Raw genomic sequence first — 23,675 nt, forward strand, 5'->3', positions numbered from 1 at the left:
TACATAAGATGCTTGTCAGCTAAAAAGACCCACCCAATTTAAAGTAACATTAATATATTAAAACCCCATTTCTTATCTGAGCATATTTATAGCAGAACAAAACTCCAGAGATAAATTCATCTGCCTTCAGACAGCCGTACACCTGAACTCCAGGTGGATGTTTGTGTTTGGGTCTGTTTCTAGGTGGAATGATCTCATGTTCTCCCTTACCACAGAATTGTGCAACACTGATACACACCTGTGTTTTGATCTTTAAAATCTGTCGTGGTAACATCTCAAGTAATTTTAAATAGCTTCGTGGATGATCCAGATTGCACGTCTGCCAGAAACATCCTTGGGCACAGTTTTGGAGCTGACTTGGATTCCTGCAATACTAAACTCGAGTCATATTGAAAATATACTAGGCCTTGGGTTCTGTTCCTTTCACTGAGACTTTTATCTCGATGCATTTTTTTGTATAAGTAATCCCCTTGGCCAGCGTCAGTGCATGAGATCTTAATTATCATTAAAAGAGAGTGAGATGAAGTATTTAGAAACTAAAGCAAGTTACCTGGATCACCACATTTCTGTCATTGCACAAGTATTTGAAGAATTATTTTTTTTGCTCTTTTTTTTTTGAATTGCAGAAATTTATGAAAATTAGAGACATTGTTTAATCTTCTTGTGCCATGAGACTCCATCAGGCCATCTACAAAGACCACTGGGAGGCTAAGGATCACTTGAGCCCAGGAATCGTGCTCTTTTAAATATATCTTTTTCATAAAAGTTATTTTAAAATGTGGCAGTTTAAAATGCCTGCTGAAAGAGTTGATCTTACCTGTAAGATCACAGATTTCTTTCTTTAAAAGCTAGTGGATACCCAACTTGTAAAGCACCAAAGTAGGACTTAGTGTGGGAATGTTAAGGAATGAAGCAGAGTTGAAGACATGGCTTATTTCAAAACACAGTGACTCATGAATGCAAAGTAATGCATTTCTGTTATGTTTGCAGATTCATGGTTAATTCCGACCTTAGCTTAACCACCATATTTTCAGGGCAAACTGTTGATGTGGTAAATTTTTTTCTAATGTATTTATTTTATTCTAGTTATTATGGGTAATACCAAAAATATGTAAAAAGTAGAATAGTGTAATGAACCTTCGATACCCATCATCCCACTTCTATCTGTGGTTAGCCCTGTACCCCACTCACTTCACAGTCCCCATGTCCTTCACTGGATTGTTTCAAAGCAAATTCACAAGTATGTGGTATGAATTTTTGTCTTTATGGGAACATTTTAGAGGATGTTACACTTTAGAGGGTATCACCCACATGGAGAGCAAAAGAAAGATGAGAAGTACATTCTAAAGAAGGCTGGGTGTGGTGGCTCACCCCTATAATCCCAGCACTTTGGGAGGCTGAGGCAGGAGCATTGCTTGAGCCCAGGAGTTCAGGCAACAAAGCGAGACCCTGTCTCAAAAAAGACACAGAGACAGAGACAGAGAGAGACAGAGAGAGGGGAGAAAGAGAGAGAGTATGTGAGAGAGAGGGAAAGGAAAAGGAAAGAAAGAAGGAGAAAATGGAGAAGCGAAGCGAAGCAAGGCAAGGCAATTGAAACAGTAGTGAAGAAGAGTGGTAGTATATCCTGTTAGCCTGTACTATCTATTGTAACATCATGGATCACAAGGAATTCAACATTTTTTTTTTTTTTTGAGACAGAGTCTTGCTCTGTCGCCCAGGCTGGAGTGCAGTGGCATGATCTCGGCTCACTGCAAGCTCCGTCTCCCAGGTTCACGCCATTCTCCTACCTCAGCCTCCAGAGTAGCTGGGACTACAGGCACCCGCCAACAAGCCCGGCTAATTTTTTGTATTTTTAGTAGAGACGGGGTTTCACCGTGTTAGCTAGGATGGTCTCAATCTCCTGACCTCGTGATCTGTCCACCTCGGCCTCCCAAAGTACTGGGATTGCAGGCGTGAGCCACCGCGCCCAGCCGGAATTCAACATTTTTAATAATGGGGGCATAGGTTTTTGATTGTGCATGCTACTGCAACTATGGTATGTGAGTCTTGATTCCTATTTTCTATCTCTCATGAGCACCTCTGCAACTCAGCCTGAATCTTGCCTATGAAAGTGGCAGAAGTGAAGCTATTAAGCTCCTAGAGACCCATAGAGAAGGGCCACTAGAGCATCTTGAGGGCAGGAGCCATGTTGGTTTGGGTAGCACTATAGTGGCTTGCACAGTGCCTGGCACATATTTGTTGCATGAGTGGATTCTTATATCCACAGAACTGTGACTTGAGTGAGTGCAGGAGAAGTTGTATAGCTCTTTCCACATACAGTTCCCCCAACCAGAGTGCTGTAAAGACAAAGCAGAGTCCCAGGAACAGTTCATGGGATTCTTTGTGCTTTGAGTCTTTCAGTGTAAAATTTATATATCTATCTGAAATCTTAAAAAACTTGGTAATGCCCTCTGGCTTTTACCAAAAGAATTGAAACACACTCACATACACAATATAGTCATTACCATTCTCCTAAAACAGAACTTTGGAATTTTTTTTTTTTTTTTTTTTTTTGAGACGGAGTCTCTCTCCTGTGGCCCAGACTGGAGTGCAGTGGTACGATCTTGACTCACTGCAACCTCTGCCTCCTGGGTTCAAGCGATTATCCTGCCTCAGCTGCCCAAGTAGCTGGGATTACAGGGTCACACCACCACGCCCGGTTTATTTTTTGTTTTTAGTAGAGACTGAGTTTCACCATGTTGGTCAGACTGGTCTGGAACTCCTGACCTCAGGCGATCTGCCCACCTCGGCCTCCCAAAGTGCTGGGATTACAGGTGTGAGCCACTGCACCTGGACTGGAATTATTTTTTAAAGATGCTTTTCTATTACTTTTGTCATTTAAAAGGACTCAAGTATTTTTCCCCGGGCGCAGGCAGTAGATATATATGTATTCTTTGGGGTTGAACTCAAGTTTGAAATTTTAATCTGTAGACTAGGTAGCCTCTGAGGTATGTGCCACTGCATGATCCATACCACAATGCCCGCCTCGTTCATTTGCTCTAGAAGGCTCCCATGCCATCATTTGTGAGCATGTATCACCTTCTCCATTCTACCTACACATTGGCATAAAGTCCCAACCCTCTAATTGGCTCACCACTTAAAAAGCCCTATTGACTGCTTCCTTAAACAGCCTTGTATTCTTTGTGATAAATACATTTGAAACTGATTTACTCTGGGGTGGGCGGAGGGAAGGTTTGGGAGGGAACCCTACATTTTAAGGACTTGAAAACAAGTTGGTTATATTTTTAAACTATACTGAGAAGGGGATAGGGTCAGAACCCAATAATGGACCTGAAATCACTGAAAATAATTCTTGGATATTGAAGGGTAAAATTTGGCCTATGTCTTGTAAACAGCTGCCTGTATCCCGTAAACAGGCTCAGTCAGATGCTAACAGATATTTGTCAAAATTGCACATGCCAGAGATTGAAACGGAAAATGGACATGAGCCATTTTGGAGTTAGGCTTTCCCAACAACAGGCCTCGGGGCTGTTTAGGTTCTGCCACCTAGATACACGGGGGATGGTTTCTTCAGTGTTTTCCTTCCTCATGAGCTCCCAAAGGACAAGGAAGCAAATCCACAGCTCCTTGAAGCCCCTTAGTCCCTAAGCTACAGTTGAACACAGCAAACACATATTTAATATTGTTTTTATCTGCTTAATTGTAAGTTAGTATTGAACACAGACTAGTTTCAAAGTTTTATTTGCTTAACTTTATGAGTCCTTTCATTAAAAAAAGGATTTCTCTGCCTGGGCACAATGGCTCACGCCTGTAATCCCAACACTTTGGGAGGCCAAGGCGGGAGGATCACCTGAGGTCGGGAGTTCGAGACCAGCCTGGCCAACATGGTGAAACCCCGTCTCCACTAAAAATACAAAAATTAGCTGGGGATGGTGGTGCGTGCCTGTAATCCCAGCTACTCAGGAGTCTGAGGCAGGAGAATCACTTGAACCTGGCAGTTGGAGGTTGCAGTGAGTCAAAATTGTCCCACTGCACTCCAGTCTGGCGACAGAGTGAGACTCCCTCTCAAAAAAAAAAAAAGGATTTCTCTTCTGTTTGCTTATCAATACTCTAAGCATTATGGATTTACAAATAAATATAAATTATAGTTTTCATTCCCAAAGGGCTTGCAATTTAGTTGGGTAGATAAGACATGTACAAGAAAGAATTAAAGAATACAGCAGCATATAAAAAATTATTTAAGTTTTGTGGTGCAATTAGAATAAATGGTACTGATTAAGTATTATAGGCGGTAAGAGCAAAAGAGAAAACATCAGCATGGACTAGAATCTTTGGATCCTGGCACATGGTAGTTGCACAGAAAATATTTGTTGAACAGAGGATAGGCCATTAAACACCATTTAAAATAGCATCAAAAATATGAAGTACTCAGTTATACATTTGAGAAATGATGTACAAAACCCATATACCAAAAAGTATAAAAGATAAATTAAAGAAGACCTAAATAAATAGAGAAATATATTGTCAGTGGGCCAGAAGTCTCAGTATTAAGATGTCAATTCTTCCCAGAGTAATCATTGATCTATAGATCTACAGATTAAGTAGTCAAAAATCTCAGCAGACTTTTTTTTTTAGGGATTGACAAGCCGATTCTAAAATGTATATATAAATGCCAAGGACCGAGAATAGCCAAAACAACTTTTGAAAAGAAGAGCAAAGTTGGAGGAAGGACTTGCAATACCTGATTTCAATACTTACTATAAAGCTACAATAATCAAAGCAATATGGTATTGGCATAAAGAGAGAAAAATAGATAAATGAAACTGAATTTGATAATGAGTCCAGAAATAGACCCACACATCTATAGACATTCAGTTTTTGACAGAGTTGCCCAGGTAGTTCAATAGAGAAAGGATAATCATTTCAACAAATGATGCTGGAACAACTGGATAGCCATAACCAAAAAGTTGAGCCTCAATCCTTACCCCATAGCATGTACAGCATTAACTCAAAATGAATTTATAGACCTAAATGTAAGAGCTAAAATTATAGGTATTGTCTTAGTTCATTCAGGCTATTATAACAAAATACTATAGATTGAGTAGCTTATAAAAAACAGAACTTTATTTCCTACAGTTTTGGAGACTGGGAAGTCCAAAATCAAGCACCGGCAGATTGAGTGTCTGATGAGGACTCACTTCTTTCATAGATGGCCATCTTCTCACATGGCAGGAGAGGCTAGCTCCCTGTAGTCTCTTTTAAAAGGGCTCTAGGCCAGGTACAGTGGCTCACACCTGTAATTCTAGCACTTTGGGAGCCCAAGGCAGGCAGATCACCTGAGGTTGGGAGTTCGAGACCAGCCTGACCAACATGGAGAAACCCTGTCTCTACTAAAAATACAAAAATTAGCTAGGCGTGGTGGTGCATGTCTGTAATCTTAGCTACTCAGGAAGCTAAGGCAGGAGGATCACTTGAACTCGGGAGGCAGAGTTTATGGAGAGCCGAGATGGCGCCATTGCACTCCAGCCTGGGCAACAAGGCAAAACTCTGTCTCAAAAAACAAGGGGGGGGCGGTGCTGTAATCCCATGAGGGCAGAGCCCTCATGATCTAATCACCTTCCAAAGGTTCTACTTACTAATACCATTAATACCATCACCTGAGGGTTAGGATTTCAACATATGATTTTGGGAGAGACACAAACATTCAAACTATGACAAACATCTAGAAGAGAACATAGGAAAATAATCTTAGTGAATTTGGGCTTAGCAAAAATTTCTTAAGTATGATACATAAAACAACATTAAATATAAAAGAAAAATCAGTACATTACACTTCACCAAAATCAAAATATTTGCTCTTCAAGGCACGGTTACAAAATAAAACAGCCAGCCAACAAACCCAAAGAGGAGAAAATTGCAAAACATATATATGACAAAGAACTGTTATCCAGAGTATACAAAGAACTGTTACAACTTAGGAATAAGAAGACAAACAGCTTAATACAATTTAGGCAAAAGATTTGAACAAATACGTAGTCATTGGGGAAATGCAAATTAAAGCCACAATGAGATTAATACTATACACCTACTAGAATGGGTAAAATTTAAAAGTTTGACCAAAACAAGCATTGGCAAGGATGTAGAACTGGAACTTTTATGGAAATATAAAATGATACATTGACTTTGAAAAACAGTTGGTCAGTTTCTTACAAAGTTAAGCATACAACTGCCAGATGACCCAGCCATTCTACTGCAGGTACTTGGTCAAGAGAAATGAAAGCATACATCTACACAAAGACTTGCAGATGAGTGTTCATAACAGCTTTATTTATAATAGCCAAGAGGTGGAAACAACCCAAATGTCCATCAACAGGGAATGGATAAACAAATAGTGGGATATCCATTACAATGGAATACGCCTCAGCAATAAAAATGAGTATACTATTGGTACGCACAACAAAATGGATGAATCTCAAAATAGTTATGCTGAGTGAAAGAAGCCAGGCAAAGAAGAGTACATGCTGCATGATGTACTATTTATATAATTATAAGTATACATTTATATAAAATTCTAGTGAATGCAAATTATAATGACAGCAGAACAGTGGTTGCCTGGGGACAGGAGCAGTGTAGTTGTGGAAGGGAGAGATTACAAGAGTAAGAGGAAACTTAGGAAGACGCTATATACGTCCATTTTCCTTATTGTGGTTTCTCAGGTGTCAAAAGTCATTAAAATTTGAAATGTACAATTGTACATCAATTATTTCTCAAAACTATAAAAAAAAGAAAAAAGAACTGATTGCCTACATGGCCATTTTTCATTTGCATGATGACAGAAATCGAAGAGCTGTTTTCAACATGAGCTCAGTGTCCCATTGATGTAGGCAGGAGATTGTTTTTTGGTTTTTTGTGTTTTTTTTGAGACAGAGTCTCACTCTGTCACCCAGGCTGGAGTGCAGTGGCACGATCTCGGCTCTCTGCAAGCTCCGCCTCCTGGGTTCACGCTATTCTCCTGCCTCAGCCTCCCGAGTAGCTGGGACCACAGGCGCCCGCCACCACGCCCAGCTAATTTTTTGTATTTTTAGTAGAGACGGGGTTTCACCATGTTAGCCAGGATGGTCTTGATCTCCTGACCTCGTGATCTGCCTGCCTCGGCCTCCCAAAGTGCTGGGATTACAGGCGTGAGCCACTGCGCCCAGCCAGGAGATTGTATATTACCTTTAATAGAGAAGCTGCACACCAACATGGCACATTTATACATACGTAAAAAACCTGCACGTTGTGCACATGTACCCTGGAACTTAAAGTATAATAAAAAAAAAAATAGAGAAGCTAATGCAGTCACAATTTATGGGTCTTTATTCATTTGACTGGGTTTATAGCTCTTTTTTTTTTTTTTTTTTTTTTGAAACAGAGTCTCACTCTGTCACTCAGGCTGGAATGCAATGGCGTGATCTTGGCTCACTGCAACCTCTGCCTCCCGGGTTCAAGTGATTCTCCTGCCTCAGCCTCCTGAGTAGCTGGGACTACAGGCACGTGCCACCACGGCCAGATAATTTTTTTGTAATTTTAGTAGAGATGGGGTTTCACCATGTTGGCCAGGATGATCTCTATCTCCTGACCTCGTGATCCGCCCACCTGGGCCTCCCAAAGTGCTGTGATTACAGGTGTGAGCCACCACGCCCGGCCTATAGCTCCTTTTTATAGCTTAAGATGGCATTTGTTTCATGAAAATTGCTCTTAAAAAATAGTTCTGTTGGCTGGGTGCGGTGGCTGACACCTGAAATCCCAGCACTTTGGGAGGCCGAGATGGGTGGATCGCCTGAGGTCAGGAGTTCGAGACCAGCCTGGCCAACATGGTAAACCCTGTCTCTACTAAAAATACAAAAAAAGTAGCTGGGCGTGGTGGTGCGCACCTGTAATCCCAGCTACTCAGGAGGCTGGGGCAGGAGGCTTGAACCCAGGAGGTGGAGATTGCAGTGAGCCGAGATCATGCCATTGCACTCCAACATGGGCGACATGAGCAAAACTCTGTCTCAAAAAAGAAACAAAGAAATAGTTCTGTTTATGGTACCTATGAGGAATAAATTGGGCACATTAAAAAATTAGATTGATTAGATTTTAGTTTGTTCAAGATAGAGGCTAATATCTCTGCACTCTTGAACCTCTACATTCTTGAGCCCTAGGTGGTAGGCAAGGTGCTGGATTTATGCACCGTGCTAAGTGGGCCCAACTCTGCCTTCACCGAGGGATCTGAAGGCCTGGTCTAGGGCTCTGGCTCTGACGCTTAATAAACATGTGACCTCGGCAAGTCATGTGTCACTGAGCCTCAGTTTCCTCATGTGTAAAATGACAGTAATAATAATACCTATCTCACTTGCCTCAGAATTGATACAAGAGCATACTGCTCTTTAAAAGCTGTAAAGTGGCATGAAAATACAAGGAGTTGTTATTTCTGTTGTTCTCCTGCTCTGGATCCCAAAATGCTTATCCATTGCTCAAGAAAACCAAAGGTATATAATCTTTTCAATTTATAAGAAGGAAAAGAAGTTACGTCACGATGTAACTTCTGTAACAGATGATGTCACTAAAACTGATCACACTATGGCCATGATCCTTCAAAAGCAGTTTTTTCTCTCTTCCTCTTTTCCCTCCTTTGCTTTCTCATTTTATTCCATTAATTTAGTCAACAGATGCTTGCTAAGTACCTGGCAAGTGTCAGGTCCTGTAGGCAATAGAAATAAAACAAGGAAGAAGACAGATGAGTCACTGCCTCTGAGAAGCTGACATATCTGTGGGAGGCTGTGGTGCAGTTTGACAGGTGCTATGAGAGGAAAAGCATGAGGGGCTCGAGAGCACCTGGGAAGACCCCGTAACCAAATTTGGGGGGTCAGGGGAAGGACACTTGAGGATAAGTAAGGGTTAGCCACTCAGAGAGCGGGCGGGAGTGTTCCAGTCAAAGGGAACAGCACGTGCAGAATGCATGGAGGAGAGCTTCGTGTGGCTGGAGTCAGAGTGTGAAGCCTGGTCAGTGAGAGGGAAGTGGGGAAGTTTCCCAGGACAGATGGTGTTGGGGCCTTGTAAGCCACGGTGAGAGCTGCAGGGAGCCATCTGGTTCCCTGCCTATAGTTTTAAGCAGGAAATCAACATGACTGACTTGCCAGTTTACTGTCTGTGGTAAGGCTTCCTGCTCTCAGCTCCCAGAGTTCCTTGTGAAGCCGTGTTGGTGGTCAAGATTAAGAAGGTTGCTGACCTCTTTCTAGGCAAGATTTTCTTGGATAGAACTTAGCTTATGGCAACCAAACTGACTTTGTTTACATTGTTTTCTGCCAAGAAAACAGAAACCTCTCCAAATAAACAGTGACTATTACTTATAAATAGGCTAATGAAACCGTAATTTTCAGTGTTTCCCTCACAATTTGTTGTATGATTACAACGTAGACTTTTTTTTTTTTTTTTTTTTTGAGAAGGAGTCTTGCTTCACTTGTACCCAGGCTGGAGTACGGTGGCACGATCTCGGCTCATTGCAACCTCCGCCTCCTGGGTTCAAGTGATTTAGCTGGAATTACAGGCACGTACCACCATGCCTGGCTAAGTTTTGTATTTTTAGTAGAGATGGGGTTTGCCATGTTGGCCAGGCTGGTCTCGAACTCCTAACCTCAGGTGATCCGCCTGTCTCGGCCTCCCAAAGTGCTGAGATTACAGGTGTGAGCCACTGTTACTTGCCAAATTTTTGCAGTCTTAATAGAAACAGGGTTTTGCCATGTTGGCCAGCCTGGTCTTGAATTCCTGGCATCACGTGATCCACCTGCCTCCGCCTCCCAAAGTGCTGGGATTACAGGCGTTAGCCACCACGCCCAGCCAACATAGACATTTTAAATGGGGATCATATACCAGAGAGAAAATTGTGCTCTAGCAAGAAGACCAGAAATACTTGAATAGAGAGGAACCTCTCTGAGCTTAAATGCAATGGGATTTTTTTTTCACAGTAAGATAATTAATTTCTGTTTTCATTTTCCCCAGTGCTACATTGGCATTGGGGGATAAAAAATATACCCTTGGGAAGGTGTGCTGACTTCTGCAGTCCACAAGAATACTATTAAGAATGTGTCTGCAATTTGTGCTTATTTGTGCTTGTGTTGATCTTTCCTTTATTTTTTTATTTTACAGCTTTAAGTTTCTTTGGACAGCATCTCTTACTATACTTTTCAAATGTCTTGCTCTCTTATAGATAATAATAACATAAAATCTTTACATAATTTCCCCCAGGTGTCAAGATAGTTTATTGTCTTTTTGTTTTGACATTCAGATATCTGTCTGGAAAAAAAATCTCTATGACATGAGAATTCTAAAGTTTAAAGGACATGAGGACAGTGTAACAAACTCACAGATTCATACTGTGGCAACTGAGGGAATGGTTTCCATCCTTTTGGGTGGAGAAGTCTATCAAGAGGGCCAGGGTCTTCAGGTACAGCAGTGAATTGTTGTTGAACAAAATATCAGTGTCTATTTTTATCGTAGATACATAGCTGTAATATATATACAGTTCGGATATAGACAGCCTGTCTTTATAAAAGTGACTGTCATAGGACAGTAAGTGTATTTGACACAGGCCATCAGCAGAAATGAGAGTGCCAAGTTGGACATAGCACAATTTTCTCATAAAATAGTGAAAATTCAAGTCTACCTAATTCAAAAGTAGTTTTGAGCAAGCCTAATGCACATATAAAATATTAGTTCAAACAAACCAAACACAGCACCCATGCAATATCTCAAGGATACTGTTAATAGTGCCAGCAAGGTGGAAGATGGTATGCTGTCACTGCCATAATTATAAGCTGGCATCAGTCTCTACATGGTGAGCATTTTGTTTCTTACAACAGTGTACAATGAACTCAAAGTTAAGAATTTTTGGCTGGGCGTGGTGGCTTACGCCTGTAATCCCAGCACTTTGGGAGGCCGAGGCAGGCGGATCACGAGGTCAGGAGATCGAGACCATCCTGGCTAACGTGGTGAAACCCCGTCTCTACTAAAAATACAAAAAATTAGCTGGGCATGGTGGCGGGTGCCTGTAGTCCCAGCTACTCGGGAGGCTGAGGTAGGAGAATGGTGTGAACCCGGGAGGCGGAGCTTGCAGTGAGCTGAGATTGTGCCACTGCACTCCAGCCTGGGCAACAGAGCAAGACTCCATATAAAAAAAAAATGAATTTTTTACAAAAAAGCATTAACATATGTGTGTATGTGTCTGTGTGTATATGATTTGGTTAAGCATGGCATTTGGAACCAAGGACTCTGGTTAAAGTACTCACTCTGCCATTAACGTGACATGTATCTGTGAGCTTGTCACTGACTCATTTTTCTTTTCTCACCTCAGTTTCTTCATCTTTGAATTGACACACCAGTTTATCAATGAAAAGGTAAGCTGTAGGTCAGATATGATGGCTCAATGCCTGTAAGCCCAGCACTTTGGGAGGCTGAGACAGAAGAATCACTTGAGGCCAGGAGTTTGAGACCAGCCTTGGCAACATAGCAAGACCCTATCTCCACACACAAAAAATTGTTTTTAATTAGCTTGGCATGATGGCTTGTGCCTGTAGTCCTAGCTACTCAGGAGGCTGAGGTAGAAGGATTGCTGGAGCCCAGAAATTCAAGCCTATAGAGCTATGATCACACTCCAGCCTGGGTGACAGAGTGAGACCCTGTCTTTTTTTTTTTTTTTTTTTTTTTTTTTGAGGAGGGTCTTACTCTGTCACTCAGGCTGGAGTGCAGTGGCATGATCTCAGCTCACTGCAGCCTCCACCTCCCTGGCTTAAGGGATCCTCCCACCTTGGCCTCCCGAATAGATGGGACTACAGGTGTGTGCCACCCACCTAGTTAATTTTTTTGGTATTTTTTATAGAGATGGGATCTCGCTATGTGTGTATGCCCAGGCTGGTCTCAAACTCCTGAGCTCACATAATCCACCCAACCTACACCTCCTGAAGTGCTGGGATTGCAGGCACGAGCCACCACACCTGGCCAAGACCCTGCCTCTTAAAAGTAAGGCAGGAGACTATTTCATTCTTCTGAGAAACAACATCAGGTATAGAAAGACTTTCTTTTGAGTCACATTGACTCTTGTTTTAAAGCCTTGCTTGAGCGCCGGCTGATACATATCCTGACCAATTTCTCTAGCCTCTCTGAGCTTGTTCTTTTATTTGTAAATGTGCAGCTAATAGTATTTAACTTGCTAAGTTTATAAAAGAAACAGTGTTTATGAAATCATAAAACAGAGGACTTTGTGCTTTGCAAGTGCTCAACGATGTTTTCTACCTTTTAAAAGTACCAAAAACACTTGCTAAAAAATGGGCATGGCAGATTGATTTAAAACATTTCCTCTTTACAATGATCTAGATGTCCTACCCTTAAACCTAAATGAGAAATGGAAATGAAGTAAAAGGGATGAGATAGATAAATTGCTGTTTTTGTTAGAAGGAATCAAAGAATTGTGTCTGTTACAGCCATAGTAGAGAGTACTAGTAACAAAGCCCCATTCCATGTCAGAATCATTTGGAGAACTTTTAAAAAAATACATGTTCCAACTTCTGTTTCTCCCAGTATGTATGACTCTTCCTGAGCAACCCTCTAGCTAAAAATCTGGAAATGAAATAAGATAAAATAAAAACTGAAAGTAACACAACCTCAGAGGCCAGAAATAATGTTTAAGCAAGATCCAGAAGAGTAGGTCAGCACTAAAGACAGCTTTCAGAAAACCCAGACATCTACCTAGCCACCATGTCCTTTAACTTAAGTTCTGATAACCTAATTAGGTGTAGGAGACAGGAGCTAAATCCAAGGTTTTGTCCAAGGCGGGAACCCCGTAAGTCCATATGAAATTGAGACCCCCAAATTGCAATAGCCTCCATGTAAGGATAAATTAGAAGGTAATCTGTGCTACAGAGGGAGAATGCAAGGAAATATGCTTATGTTGACTTGGTTTGGGGTAGAAGGGAGAAAAAGCTCTCCGCTGAAAATTCACTACCACAGGACAGCTTTTTTTTTTTTTGAGACTGAGTCTCGCTCTGTCACCCAGGCTGGATGGAGTGCAGTGGTACAATCTCGGCTCACTGCAAGCTCCGCCTCCCGGGTTCACGCCATTTTCCTGCCTCAGCCTCCCGAGTAGCTGAGATTACAGGTGCCCGCAAAAAATGCCTGGCTAATTTTTTGTATTTTTTTAGTAGAGACGGGGTTTCACCATATTAGCCAGGACGGTCTCAATCTGCTGACCTTGTGATCCACCCACCTCAGCCTCCCAAAGTGCTGGGATTACAGGCGTGAGCCACCGCGCCTGGCCAGGACAGCTTTAAAGGAAATTTGCAGCCTGGATTTACAATGATCAGAACGGCCTGAAAACCATCAACCAAAGAGTGTTCTTTAGCATCATCTTCAATTGTTGGTACCTGAGGTACCTTCCTGCTGTGTGTCCATAGTACCTGTCCTTCCTTCTCCCCCTTGCCTTTAGCTCCAGTGACTAAATACCAGGGAAGCCTGAGCCTGGGCCTGTGTTGCCCTTGAGAGATTAGATCGTATAGTTGGCCAAAACATTTTTCACTAATATCAGTGTTACTTCAGCCCTTTAAGTAAGCAGAGACCCACTGTGGTATCAACAGTCTTTGGTCTTGACTTGCAGGATACAAGTGGGAGGGGAAAATAAAAAGGAAAGGAAAAAGGAGAACTTTTTAATGCCTTACCTGTATTTAGAATCTGTTCTAGTGACAACACCTCCCCTGCCCCCACCTGTCCTCACAAAACCTGTAAAAAACCTAAAGCAGGTCCACTCTGAACTTTAGGGAGGAAGGCCAGGCAATGTGGATGAAGAGTATGGTAATTTACCTAAGATTATTAGAATTTTTGGTTTGTCGGCTTGAATGTGTGTACCTGTTACCATGGTTCTATCCCAGCCTTTCTTTAAGTGCCTTGTTTTTGCACTTCTTGGATTCCTTTTTATAATGCAGTGCTAATCCCTTTGCTGGGTCAGCATCGAGGGCAAACAATTGATTTTAGAAGTGCTGTGCCAGTTGGTGTAATCCCAGAAGCAAGGTGGCGTGTGTGACATTGCATGCTGAGTTGACATCTTAGCCGACACACATCCTTTGCTCTTTCGTTACGTGCTTGTAACAAGTTGCATGTTTTATGTGCATATTCTTGGCTAGGCTGGCACAGGTAAGTGCCACCTAGCCCTTCCTGTTCCCAGCCTACATTTGCTGTTTGAGTGGCTGTGGATTTTTCTAGCAGATGACAGTCTTTGTTTTGAAATTTTAAAAATTCATAAATGACTTTGTTCATTCTTATCCACCAAACTCCTAGAATTGTGCTTGGCAAATACTAAGCACTCAAATTTTTTGAATGATTATTATTTTGTTTAGACTATAATTAGGGCCCGGAAGATATGATTGAAACTAGGTATTAGCTTAAGGAGATGAGGTTGACTAGGCACTAGTGTCCTAAGCTAAGGCTGAAGAAGAGTTCAGGAGTCGTGTTGACCCTTTAGTTGGCAGTAAGGCAAGTGAGGAACAGAAAACGAACTTCTGTGGTGGTCCAGGGCCAATAGATTGGGTTCTAGGAAGGCAGCGGTGGGCAGCAGTGGAAGTTTGAAGGACCTGCAGACTGATTAGTTTCTGGCCAAAATTTAGGAGCCATTGTTGACAGGTATGGAACGAAACATCCTGGACCCTAAGACCTAAACAAGTGATCCTTATCTAGGATTGGCACCAAGGCATTGTGTGGAGCTGGACGGTTCCTAACACCTGTTATTTTATAAAATAAATATTAGGAAACCCCTATTCATTTTGAATGTGTTAATGAAAGTGAACTGCTAATCACAGTTAGCACTTGTATCTTTTCTACTAAATGTGTGAAATGTGCCTTTTAGGGAAATATAATACACATTTTCATTCTTGTTTACCTTCTTCATACGTAGCTGGTTTAGAATCAACTTTCCAAAACAACCCTACCTATCTTCTAGGCTGTTGACAGTGATTGACAGTGAACAACACTAAAAGAAGGAGAAGCCAGGACAGGACATTGTATTTCTTCACTGAATTCCTTTCCCCTTATTAGTCATTGCTGACTCTCCTGTATTCATTTTTCACTGATCATCATTCACCATTTCCATCTCACTGAGTCCAAGTGTCTCTCCATACATGTTTGTCCCTTATTACCCTCTACTAATGGAAGGCTACAAAAGCTAATTTGTTAGAGAAGTGAATGAAATATAATGTCATCTATAAATATTAGCTCTCTTCTTCACTCCCTGTTAATAAAAGCAGTATATCATTTCAGAGAGAAGAAAAGACCAGGACCTATCCATTTGTAATCATACTGTGCACACATTCAATTAGCCAGAGGGGTAAAGTGCATATTAGTAGGCAGCCTGGGAGTTTGCTGGAGCAATTAATCGGCTTTGTCATCTATAAGTAATAGTTTAAATAACTTTCTCTTGCTCCCTTGACTGAAACAGCCAATCAGATTCAAGCAATAGATAGCATCCTTAACCTTCCCAAAAATAGACTTAACACTACAATGTTTGTCTTTTCTTATTAAAAGCTCTATGCTATGTACTAGTTTACCAGGTATCTATGGGGTTTTTTGTTTGTTTGTTTGTTTGTTTGTTTTGAGACAGAGTCTTGCTCTGTCGCCCAGGTTGGAGTGCAGTGATGCAATCTTGGCCCACTGCAACCTCTGCCTCCTGGGTTCAGGCGATTCTCCTGCCTCACCCTCCTGCATAGCTGGGACTACAGGTGCGCACCACCACACCTGGCTAATTTTTTTGTATTTTTAGGAGAGACAGGGTTTTGCCATGTTGGCCAGGCTGGTCTCAAACTCCTGACCTCAAGTGATCCTCCCACCTCGGCCTCCCAAAGTGCTCAGTTTACAGGCATGAGCCACCATGCCCGGCCTCTGTGAGTTTTTTAATGGGGAGAGCAAGGGGAGGAAATTTTGGTAATAACCAAGGATCCGTGTCCTGTGTTCCATTTTTTAAAAAGTAGTACATTATTGTGTGGTATTAAATTGTTTTTTATTTTTTTTAGGATTTGACTATAAGGAAAGAAATTCCAGTATGCAACATGATAGCAGAAATAAACAAGCTGTCAGATTTTGGAAATGAATATGAATTTCATTTTCTTTGGTCCTAATATCACATAATGATTGTTTTTATACAAAAATACCATATGGCTAATGTGGACCCAATCTCAACATTTGTTTGCTGCCTTACACACACATTTTTATTTATATTTCTTTTTTTATATATGGATCTTCAAGTGGGATGCCAAGAGAGACGATATTTTTGAGGAAGTCAGTGCACAGTCAAAGAGGATATGAACCCAGTCTAGGTGTTACATGGTGCCCTAATATTCCGCTTGCATAAGAAGAAACCTTTTGTTTGTGGCCTTAGTTGTCACCAGGAGACCATTGTTAATTTTGCTTAAAAGCTCTTCTGTTGTGTTTAGGTGGCTTTTTAATATAAAGGAAAGAAAAAAATGAAGAACAAGTTTGGCCAAACTCTTAACATTTGGCTCTATCAGGAGTCTCATCTCCGCTTCGTAGCCTCAACTAATCCTCCACAGCCTCTTGCCAGAGATTTCTTAAGTCTTAAGACTTATAAAGACGCTGGCAAGAAACTGCGGTGCATCAGCAGGAACAGGTTGCAAAATGAAGACAAAGCCTCTGGCAAGACACAGGAGGATTAATAGAGGCCAGGCCATGAAATAGAGATGAAGCCCCGAATGGTGAAAGATCTCTGAAGTCACAGTACAGATACAGAACCGGTGTTCTGTCATTTGGGAAATCATATGGGATGAGCCACGGGGCCCAGTTGGCCAGGGGAACAATTGGGAATTGCAGGTCAGGAGCATCCTTTGCCAGAGGAAGTTAAAAGCTTTTAGAACTGGGAGTGCTCAGAGATCCCAGAACAATCTCTAGATGTAATTCACACCTCTACTCTGATAAGGAGTGTGAGACCAGATGGAAAACCACTACTGGGTCAGAGAGTGAAAATAAATCCTAGAGAAGATGCCAGAAAGATTTGGCTAAGCACTACTTAATGGAATAAAATTCGTGACCGGGGTACTGACTGTGTTCCTAATGTTGGATTATTTTAGCCTTGCTCTATTAGTAGTCCTCAGCTTTGAACCCAGCCTCTCTCCCTTCCTGTCTCTTCCCACATCCCATTGAGTCCCCCCTTCCCTGGAGCTTCCCCCTCCTGCTTCCCTCCCATGCCCCTGCCCCTTCCCTGTCTTCTCTCTCTTCCTCCCATTTAAAATGTTACTTTTTCTCAATAGCTTTATCAAGGACTACTTTCCTATAATGTTGAGTAGGAAGTTCCCCAAAGAATAGAAAAATCTGCTTTAATTCCAACATCTAGTTGCTTCAGAAACAGCTGGGTAAATTGGACTTACCCAAGTTGGACTTAGTAATGTTGTTCTAGTTTATGCGATGGGAACATTTTAGTTGGGGCTTTTGTTCATTCATCACATGCAGCTGGGGGAGGAAATGGCATTATTTAACTTGTCCATAGTGTATCTTTAAATATGAAAAAGAAATGGAACCTATGAATACAAATAATCAGGACTCTCATCCTTTCTTTAGACTTAAAAAGAGAGAAAACAAAGACTTAAATAAACATCTTCAACAGGTAGTACAATGTAAAAAGCCTGTAAAACATTGCCACAAGGATATATGCCTTGAGTGCTTCAATCACGGGGAATATTCCTCCCATGTTTTACTGCAGTTAATTATGGCAGAGCACCAGCATGGATTTTGTACCTTAACCTCACCTGTGTCCTCCACCCCCCCACAGAAAGAATGCTTTCCTATTGATGAATCATTATGGGGGCACATCCTCTCTTGTGTGTAGGGTAAGAATGTGCCAAAATTAAGACGTACTGGAATTAAGAAAGCCAAAATGAAGTGTCACGTTGAGCTAAGGTGACAGGTTGTACCTTGACCTTTATAATGAATTCACTTAATTTACTTCTTTTAGTCCTCTCCGAATATGTTCGGCCTTGTATTTTAGGATCTGGGTTTCTCATTTCAAAGCATTTATCAATTAATTCTGTAAGAAAAGGACTCACTTTACTGCTGAGAAACAGTTGCGATCTTCTCTAGTAGTTAGAAAACTCAATTCAGATCACCATCATCCCACAGCCTATTTTATTCCATTTAGCTACATATGTCAATCATGAATTTTTGGAAGACCCTCATGGATGAGTACCAAATAATTCCTGCAAATGGTTTTCTACTTTCTTGTGTGAGGGTGGGTGTCTCTGGCACCTTGGGTTAGAGAGTTGAATTCATCATACTGGTTAGTTGATAGCACATTATCATCACCACCAGTCGGTGCATGGCTTTGCTTTTGTTTTCATCTTTTTACTTTTTCATCTTCCATCTCCACTCTTCCCATTCCCATTAACAATGTTCTTATTTATTTATATGCCCTTAAAAATATAGTAGGTTGTTTTGTGGCCTTTACATAAGAGACGTTTTTCATTTACATAGGTGATATACTAAGGTTCTCATTCTGTTTCTTATATTCACTTGGCTTTATGCTTTTAAGAGCTTTCCTTTTACATTTAGGTTGTTGAACCTGATTGCCATGTGGGGTTCCATAGCAGGCATCCACCACACTCTTCTTTCCATTCCCATGGTAATAAGCAGCGCAGTTGTCTTAGCTTGCCAGGGTGAACATCCTTAGAGCACTGCCAGATTGCCCTTCCGGAAAGGCTGCGCCAGTTTAGAATCCCACCAGCAGCACTTGCCAATGCTTGTCCTCCTACATCCTTGCCAATACTTTGTATTACCCAAATTTATCATTTTTGCCAATCATTACGATATCTTGCTTTAATTTGTATTTCTCTGATTACTGGTAGGCTGATCATTGTTTATTTGCTTTTATCCATTTAAGCTTCCCCTTCTATTTTTTTAACCTATTTTTACATTTGTTTCTTATTTGTTGGAGTTACTTACATATTGTGATACTAATCTTTTATTTGAGTCTTTGTTATTATCTTTTCCCTATAAGTTACCAGTCTGTTCATTTTGTCTGTAATGTCCGTCTTTGAACAGAAATCCTTATTATTTATCCTACTTAAATTTTTGTACCTTTCTAGAGAAAAATGTAATTTTGTATTTGCATTAAGCTAGAGGCTGGCAGTAGATGGTATGAAAATGTGATGTTTAGGCCAAGACCTCAGAGAATTCTAGAACCGTTCTGATCTCTGAAACAAGCATTGTTGCAGAGTGAATTTTCTGCAAACCTTCGGGAGAAGTATAAGCACAGGGGACTCAGCAGTTACCCACAGTATGTGCCAGGGCTAGAGTCATTTGTGGGGACCCTCCTGGCTCTTTGGCCTATTTTTTTTTTTCAACATACTTAGGACAAGGTCATTTCAAATGCCCAGATAAGTGCAGAGAAATCAGTCATTAAATTCTAACTCAGCCTGAAGTTTCACTCGGTGGGAAATTTTTGAATATAAATGTCTTGTGTTACCATATAATAGTAGTGACTTATAGTTTTAGCCAACCTTTATTGAATGCTTACTATGTATCAGGTATGTTCTAAGAGATGTACATTTATTATCTCATTCAGTCTATGCATCAACCTTATCAGGTAGTTATGACAGAAGTAGTATTTTGAATTCACCAAATCCCATTTCATATTCCTCCATTCTGGACACATAGAAAACAATACCTCGCAGCCCCCCGTATGGGCCTGGACCTTGCATGTTAACTAATTCTTGTCAGTGATATACGAGCAGAGTTGACAGTGTCACTTTCAGTAAAAAAGTTTTTTTTTAACTTTGGTTAAAAAAAAAAAACAACCTTCTTATTAAAATCAGATTCTGCTGTCATTCTTTTCTATTTTTTTTTGGCCAACCTGGATCACTGGGTCATTGAAAACAACTGTCCTAGATGGTCATTCATGCACGTAGCTGACTTTCCATGATTTATTGTTGTAATAAGACACTCTCCCATTGATATAGGGAAAGAGGGGCATTTGTTACTGCAGCTTTGCCTAACCTAGCCTAACTAATAAAGTAAGTAAGTATGGCCAGGCAGGGTGGCTCACGCCTGTAATCCCAGCACTTTGGGAGGCTGAGGTGGGTGGATCATGAGGTAAAGAGATCAAGACCATCCTGGCCAACATGGTAAAACCCCGTCTCTACTAAAAATACAAAAAAAATTAGCTGGGCATGATGGCACGTGCCTGTGGTCCTAGCTACTCGGGAGGCTGAGGCAGAAGGATCACTTGAACCCGAGAGGTAGAGGTCACAGTGAGCTGAGATTGTGCCACTGCGCTCCAGCCTGGCGACAGAGCAAGACTCCGTCTCAAAAATAAAAATAAAATAAAAAATAATTTAAGTACTATTATTACCCCTACTTTACAGATGAAGAAAGCACAGGGAGATTAACTTGCCCAAGTTCCTTACAATGTATGTCTGATACCAGAGCCCACCATTTGAGCTTCAGTGAAGCTCTTCCTATGAAATTAATATGGTCTTAAGTCTAAGCTCAATTAGGTCCCAAACCTTCTGTAGAGTATGGAGTGAAGCTAAGTAACTTTGCTTGTTTTAATTAAATAATCATTAGCAATCTATGATATTTATATATATCTCACTTACAGCAATAATGGATGAGTAGAAATTTATTTCTCCTAAAGAGCAGTAGAATAATTTGGCTAGTTCTAGAGGAGTAAATGGCTTTTATCAATACTTCAGCTTTTAAAATATTAAAAATTCTGTTGCTGGCTTGCTTTTCAAATTAGTTTGTTCAAATTATTCCATTTGTTTAAATTTTTCCGTGGAAAAATCAAGTAGGAATTAGGAAGGCTTTCGTGTAGGACTGACGTTGAAAGAAGGATAAAATCTTCAAGGCTGGAGGGGTTTCCAGGTAAAGGGGCCTACAATGAGCAAATGCATTTATTTTCCAGTATTTGTTGAGCACCCACTATATACCAATCACTTTTCTGGGTGCTTGGAATATGTATTTGAACAATATAGACACGAATCTATGTTTTCATGGTACCTATATTCTAGCAAAGGTAGGAAAGGATAGGACAGTTATTTGCAAAGCTGCCAAGTTGCCACAGAGGAAATAAAGCTCAAAGATAAATAGGTACCCTTGGGAACCTGAATGCCAGCCTGAGGAATTTGTGTGTAATTCAGCAAGAAATAGAGAGCCAGGAGACTTCTGCAAAGGGGTGAGGTACCATGATCCGAGCTGTGGCCTAAGACTCTCCATTAGACAAACAGAATTCGGAATATTAGAGTGATCAGGAATGGAGAATTAAATATCGACTACAATTGTCCATACCTTTTCTGAGGCTTAGTTTTTCTTCCGGGTTCTTGATGGTGGTGATGATGTTACTGACTGATGAGGTGGTGAGCGGAGGCTGAAACCCCACCAGTGCTCCACTCACCCAGCTGCTCTTCTGGCCAAGTCTTGTGTCTTTCCTTCGGCACATTCCTCTATCCAGAGGAAGGGGCATCTGTTTGTCGCCTATCTTCCAGGGGTGACATCTTTTATAAATTGCACAAAGATTCTTTATATGCCTGCAGCAGCCTTGATTAAATGGCAGCACTAGGATTTGACCCCAGTCCTACCTAACTACGAACGCTGTGTGATTTTGCCAGTGTTTACTACTCTTACAACATTATTTGCCACTACTCTTACAAGTCCTTGCCAGTGTTTAGTACCATTACAACAACTACTCCCCCTACTATTGCTGCTGCTATTATGAAGGAGGAGAGGGAAAGAATAGCATCTGACATTCTTTGAGTGCTGGCTGTGTGCCAAGCACAGTATTCAGTTATTTACATGCATTATTTCATTTAATCATCACAGTCTCCCTGTGAGGTAGGTACTGTTACTATGTTGCCAAGTGACAGAATAGGAATTGAAGCCAGTCGTTCAGACTCCAAGTCTGAGGACTTAACCACTACACTAGTATCTTCCCTGAATACTTAAGGATGAAATATCTTAGAAAACAAAACTGCTGCTCTATTAGAAGTCACATAAAACTACAAAAATTATTTAAAGCAACAAACTTGAGGCCAGGTGCAGTGGCTCACACCTGTAATCCCAGCACTTTGGGAGGCCAAGGTGGGAGAATTGCTTGAGCTCAGGAGTTCAAGACCAGCCTGGGCAACATAGCAAGACCTCGTCTCTAGTTTAAAAAAAAAAAAAAAATCCTAGGATGATGCTTCTGGGAAAAACAGCAGCAGCAACAACAACAACAACATTAGCTAGGAGTGATGGCGTGCACCTATAGTCCCAGCTACTCGGGAGGCTGAGGTGGGAAAATCACCTGAGCCCAGGGATTCTTGATTGCACCACTGCACACCAGCCTGGATGACAGCAAGACCCTGTCTCAAAAAATAAATAAAAATAAAGCATCCAACTTGAGCAAGGAATAGCATCAATCCAGTACCTTGTCATAGCAGGTGCTCAAAAAATATTTAACTTGATTTTCACAGATAAACATTTTGAACATTGGTACTTGAGGGGAAAAAAAATAAGGCTAAATCAGAGAATATGATTAAAATAAATATTTTTGTGAACATTTTGATGGTTATTTCTGGATACCTCCAAAGGATTTTAAGTTTGATTGGATAGCCTGTTAATCAGATCTAATCTCACTTCTTTTTTTAAAATACAGGTATGTCTAGTTCACTGTTAATTACTGGTGTGCTTCTCTGTAACTTAGGACCCTCAATTTTTTTGTTGTTTTTATTTTTGTTTCATTTTGTTTCTGTCCTTCACAAATAGAAAAAAGAGAGAGAATACATACATACAAAGAGAGAATACATATTTCCTAAGCATTTCATCAAAAATTGTGAGGGAGGAGGGTGTTAAAGGCTGTGTGTGTGTGTGTGTGTGTGTGTGTGTGTGTGTGTACACATGCGCACACACTTTTGAGAATGGGGTTGATCACCTGCAGCAGATTTCACTGAGCAGTGTTAGGAAGATACTTTCAGGCAGGTCGTTAGCTCCTGGTACTGCTTTCTAGGGTTAATGCAGGTGCAGGACAGCCTGGCTGCAGTCAGAGTGACCTGGAGTGGGACAGAGGGATCCCAGCTCAAGATGTTGTGTCTGTATCAGGCTGTTTATATTTATGAAATGTTTCCTAACTGGATATTGCTATAAAAGAAAAAAGAAAGCTAGATTATTGAGTTTAATTTGTAAGCTCTGTAGGACAGTGGTTTTGAGACCTTTAAATTTTGTATTGTTGTTTATTTGCAGAAAGATTCTAACCCTAGTTTGCACAACTTAGAATCAGAACCCAGCCTGATGGGACTGCCTGCTGACCCAGTCTTTCCCACCTCCAGAAGGGGTGCCCTGAGGCACTGCCTCTAGGCAAATTCTTCCTTTATTGTACCTTTCCTACAATTTGTTTTTTTCCTTTCTTCCTTCCCTCCTTTTCTCCTTCATTTCCCCTTTCCCTCCCTCCCTCCCTTCCTCTTTCTTTCTTTCCTTTCTTTTCTTTCCTTTCTCTTGCACATCTGCATGAGTGCTCGCCCTTTTCTCATATTTTTCAGATAATCATGTAAGTTCCTGAACAGTTCTAGCTTGCTAACAGTTGTGGCCTCTGAGTACATACATAGGATTTCACAAATCTTCCTAGGTGAGCAGGGGCT

General features: G+C 41.1%; 1 protein-coding gene and 1 long non-coding RNA gene across 15 annotated transcripts in view; one reads left to right on the plus strand and one right to left on the minus strand.

Annotated features, from left to right (window-relative positions):
- LOC100505736 (uncharacterized) overlaps positions 1–21,829 on the minus strand; it is a 58,407-nt gene extending 36,578 nt beyond the window's left edge. The window contains exon 1 of the long non-coding RNA NR_120504.1: positions 21,352–21,829. This is a non-coding gene — a long non-coding RNA (uncharacterized LOC100505736). The remainder of the gene's footprint in view (positions 1–21,351) is intronic.
- The window catches only part of BABAM2 (BRISC and BRCA1 A complex member 2), a 450,193-nt gene that overhangs the window by 296,424 nt on the left and 130,094 nt on the right, over positions 1–23,675 (plus strand). The window lies entirely within an intron of this gene.

This window comes from Homo sapiens, chromosome 2 (assembly GCF_000001405.40).
Source record: "Homo sapiens chromosome 2, GRCh38.p14 Primary Assembly".
In the NCBI taxonomy this organism is placed as follows: Eukaryota; Metazoa; Chordata; class Mammalia; order Primates; family Hominidae; genus Homo; species Homo sapiens.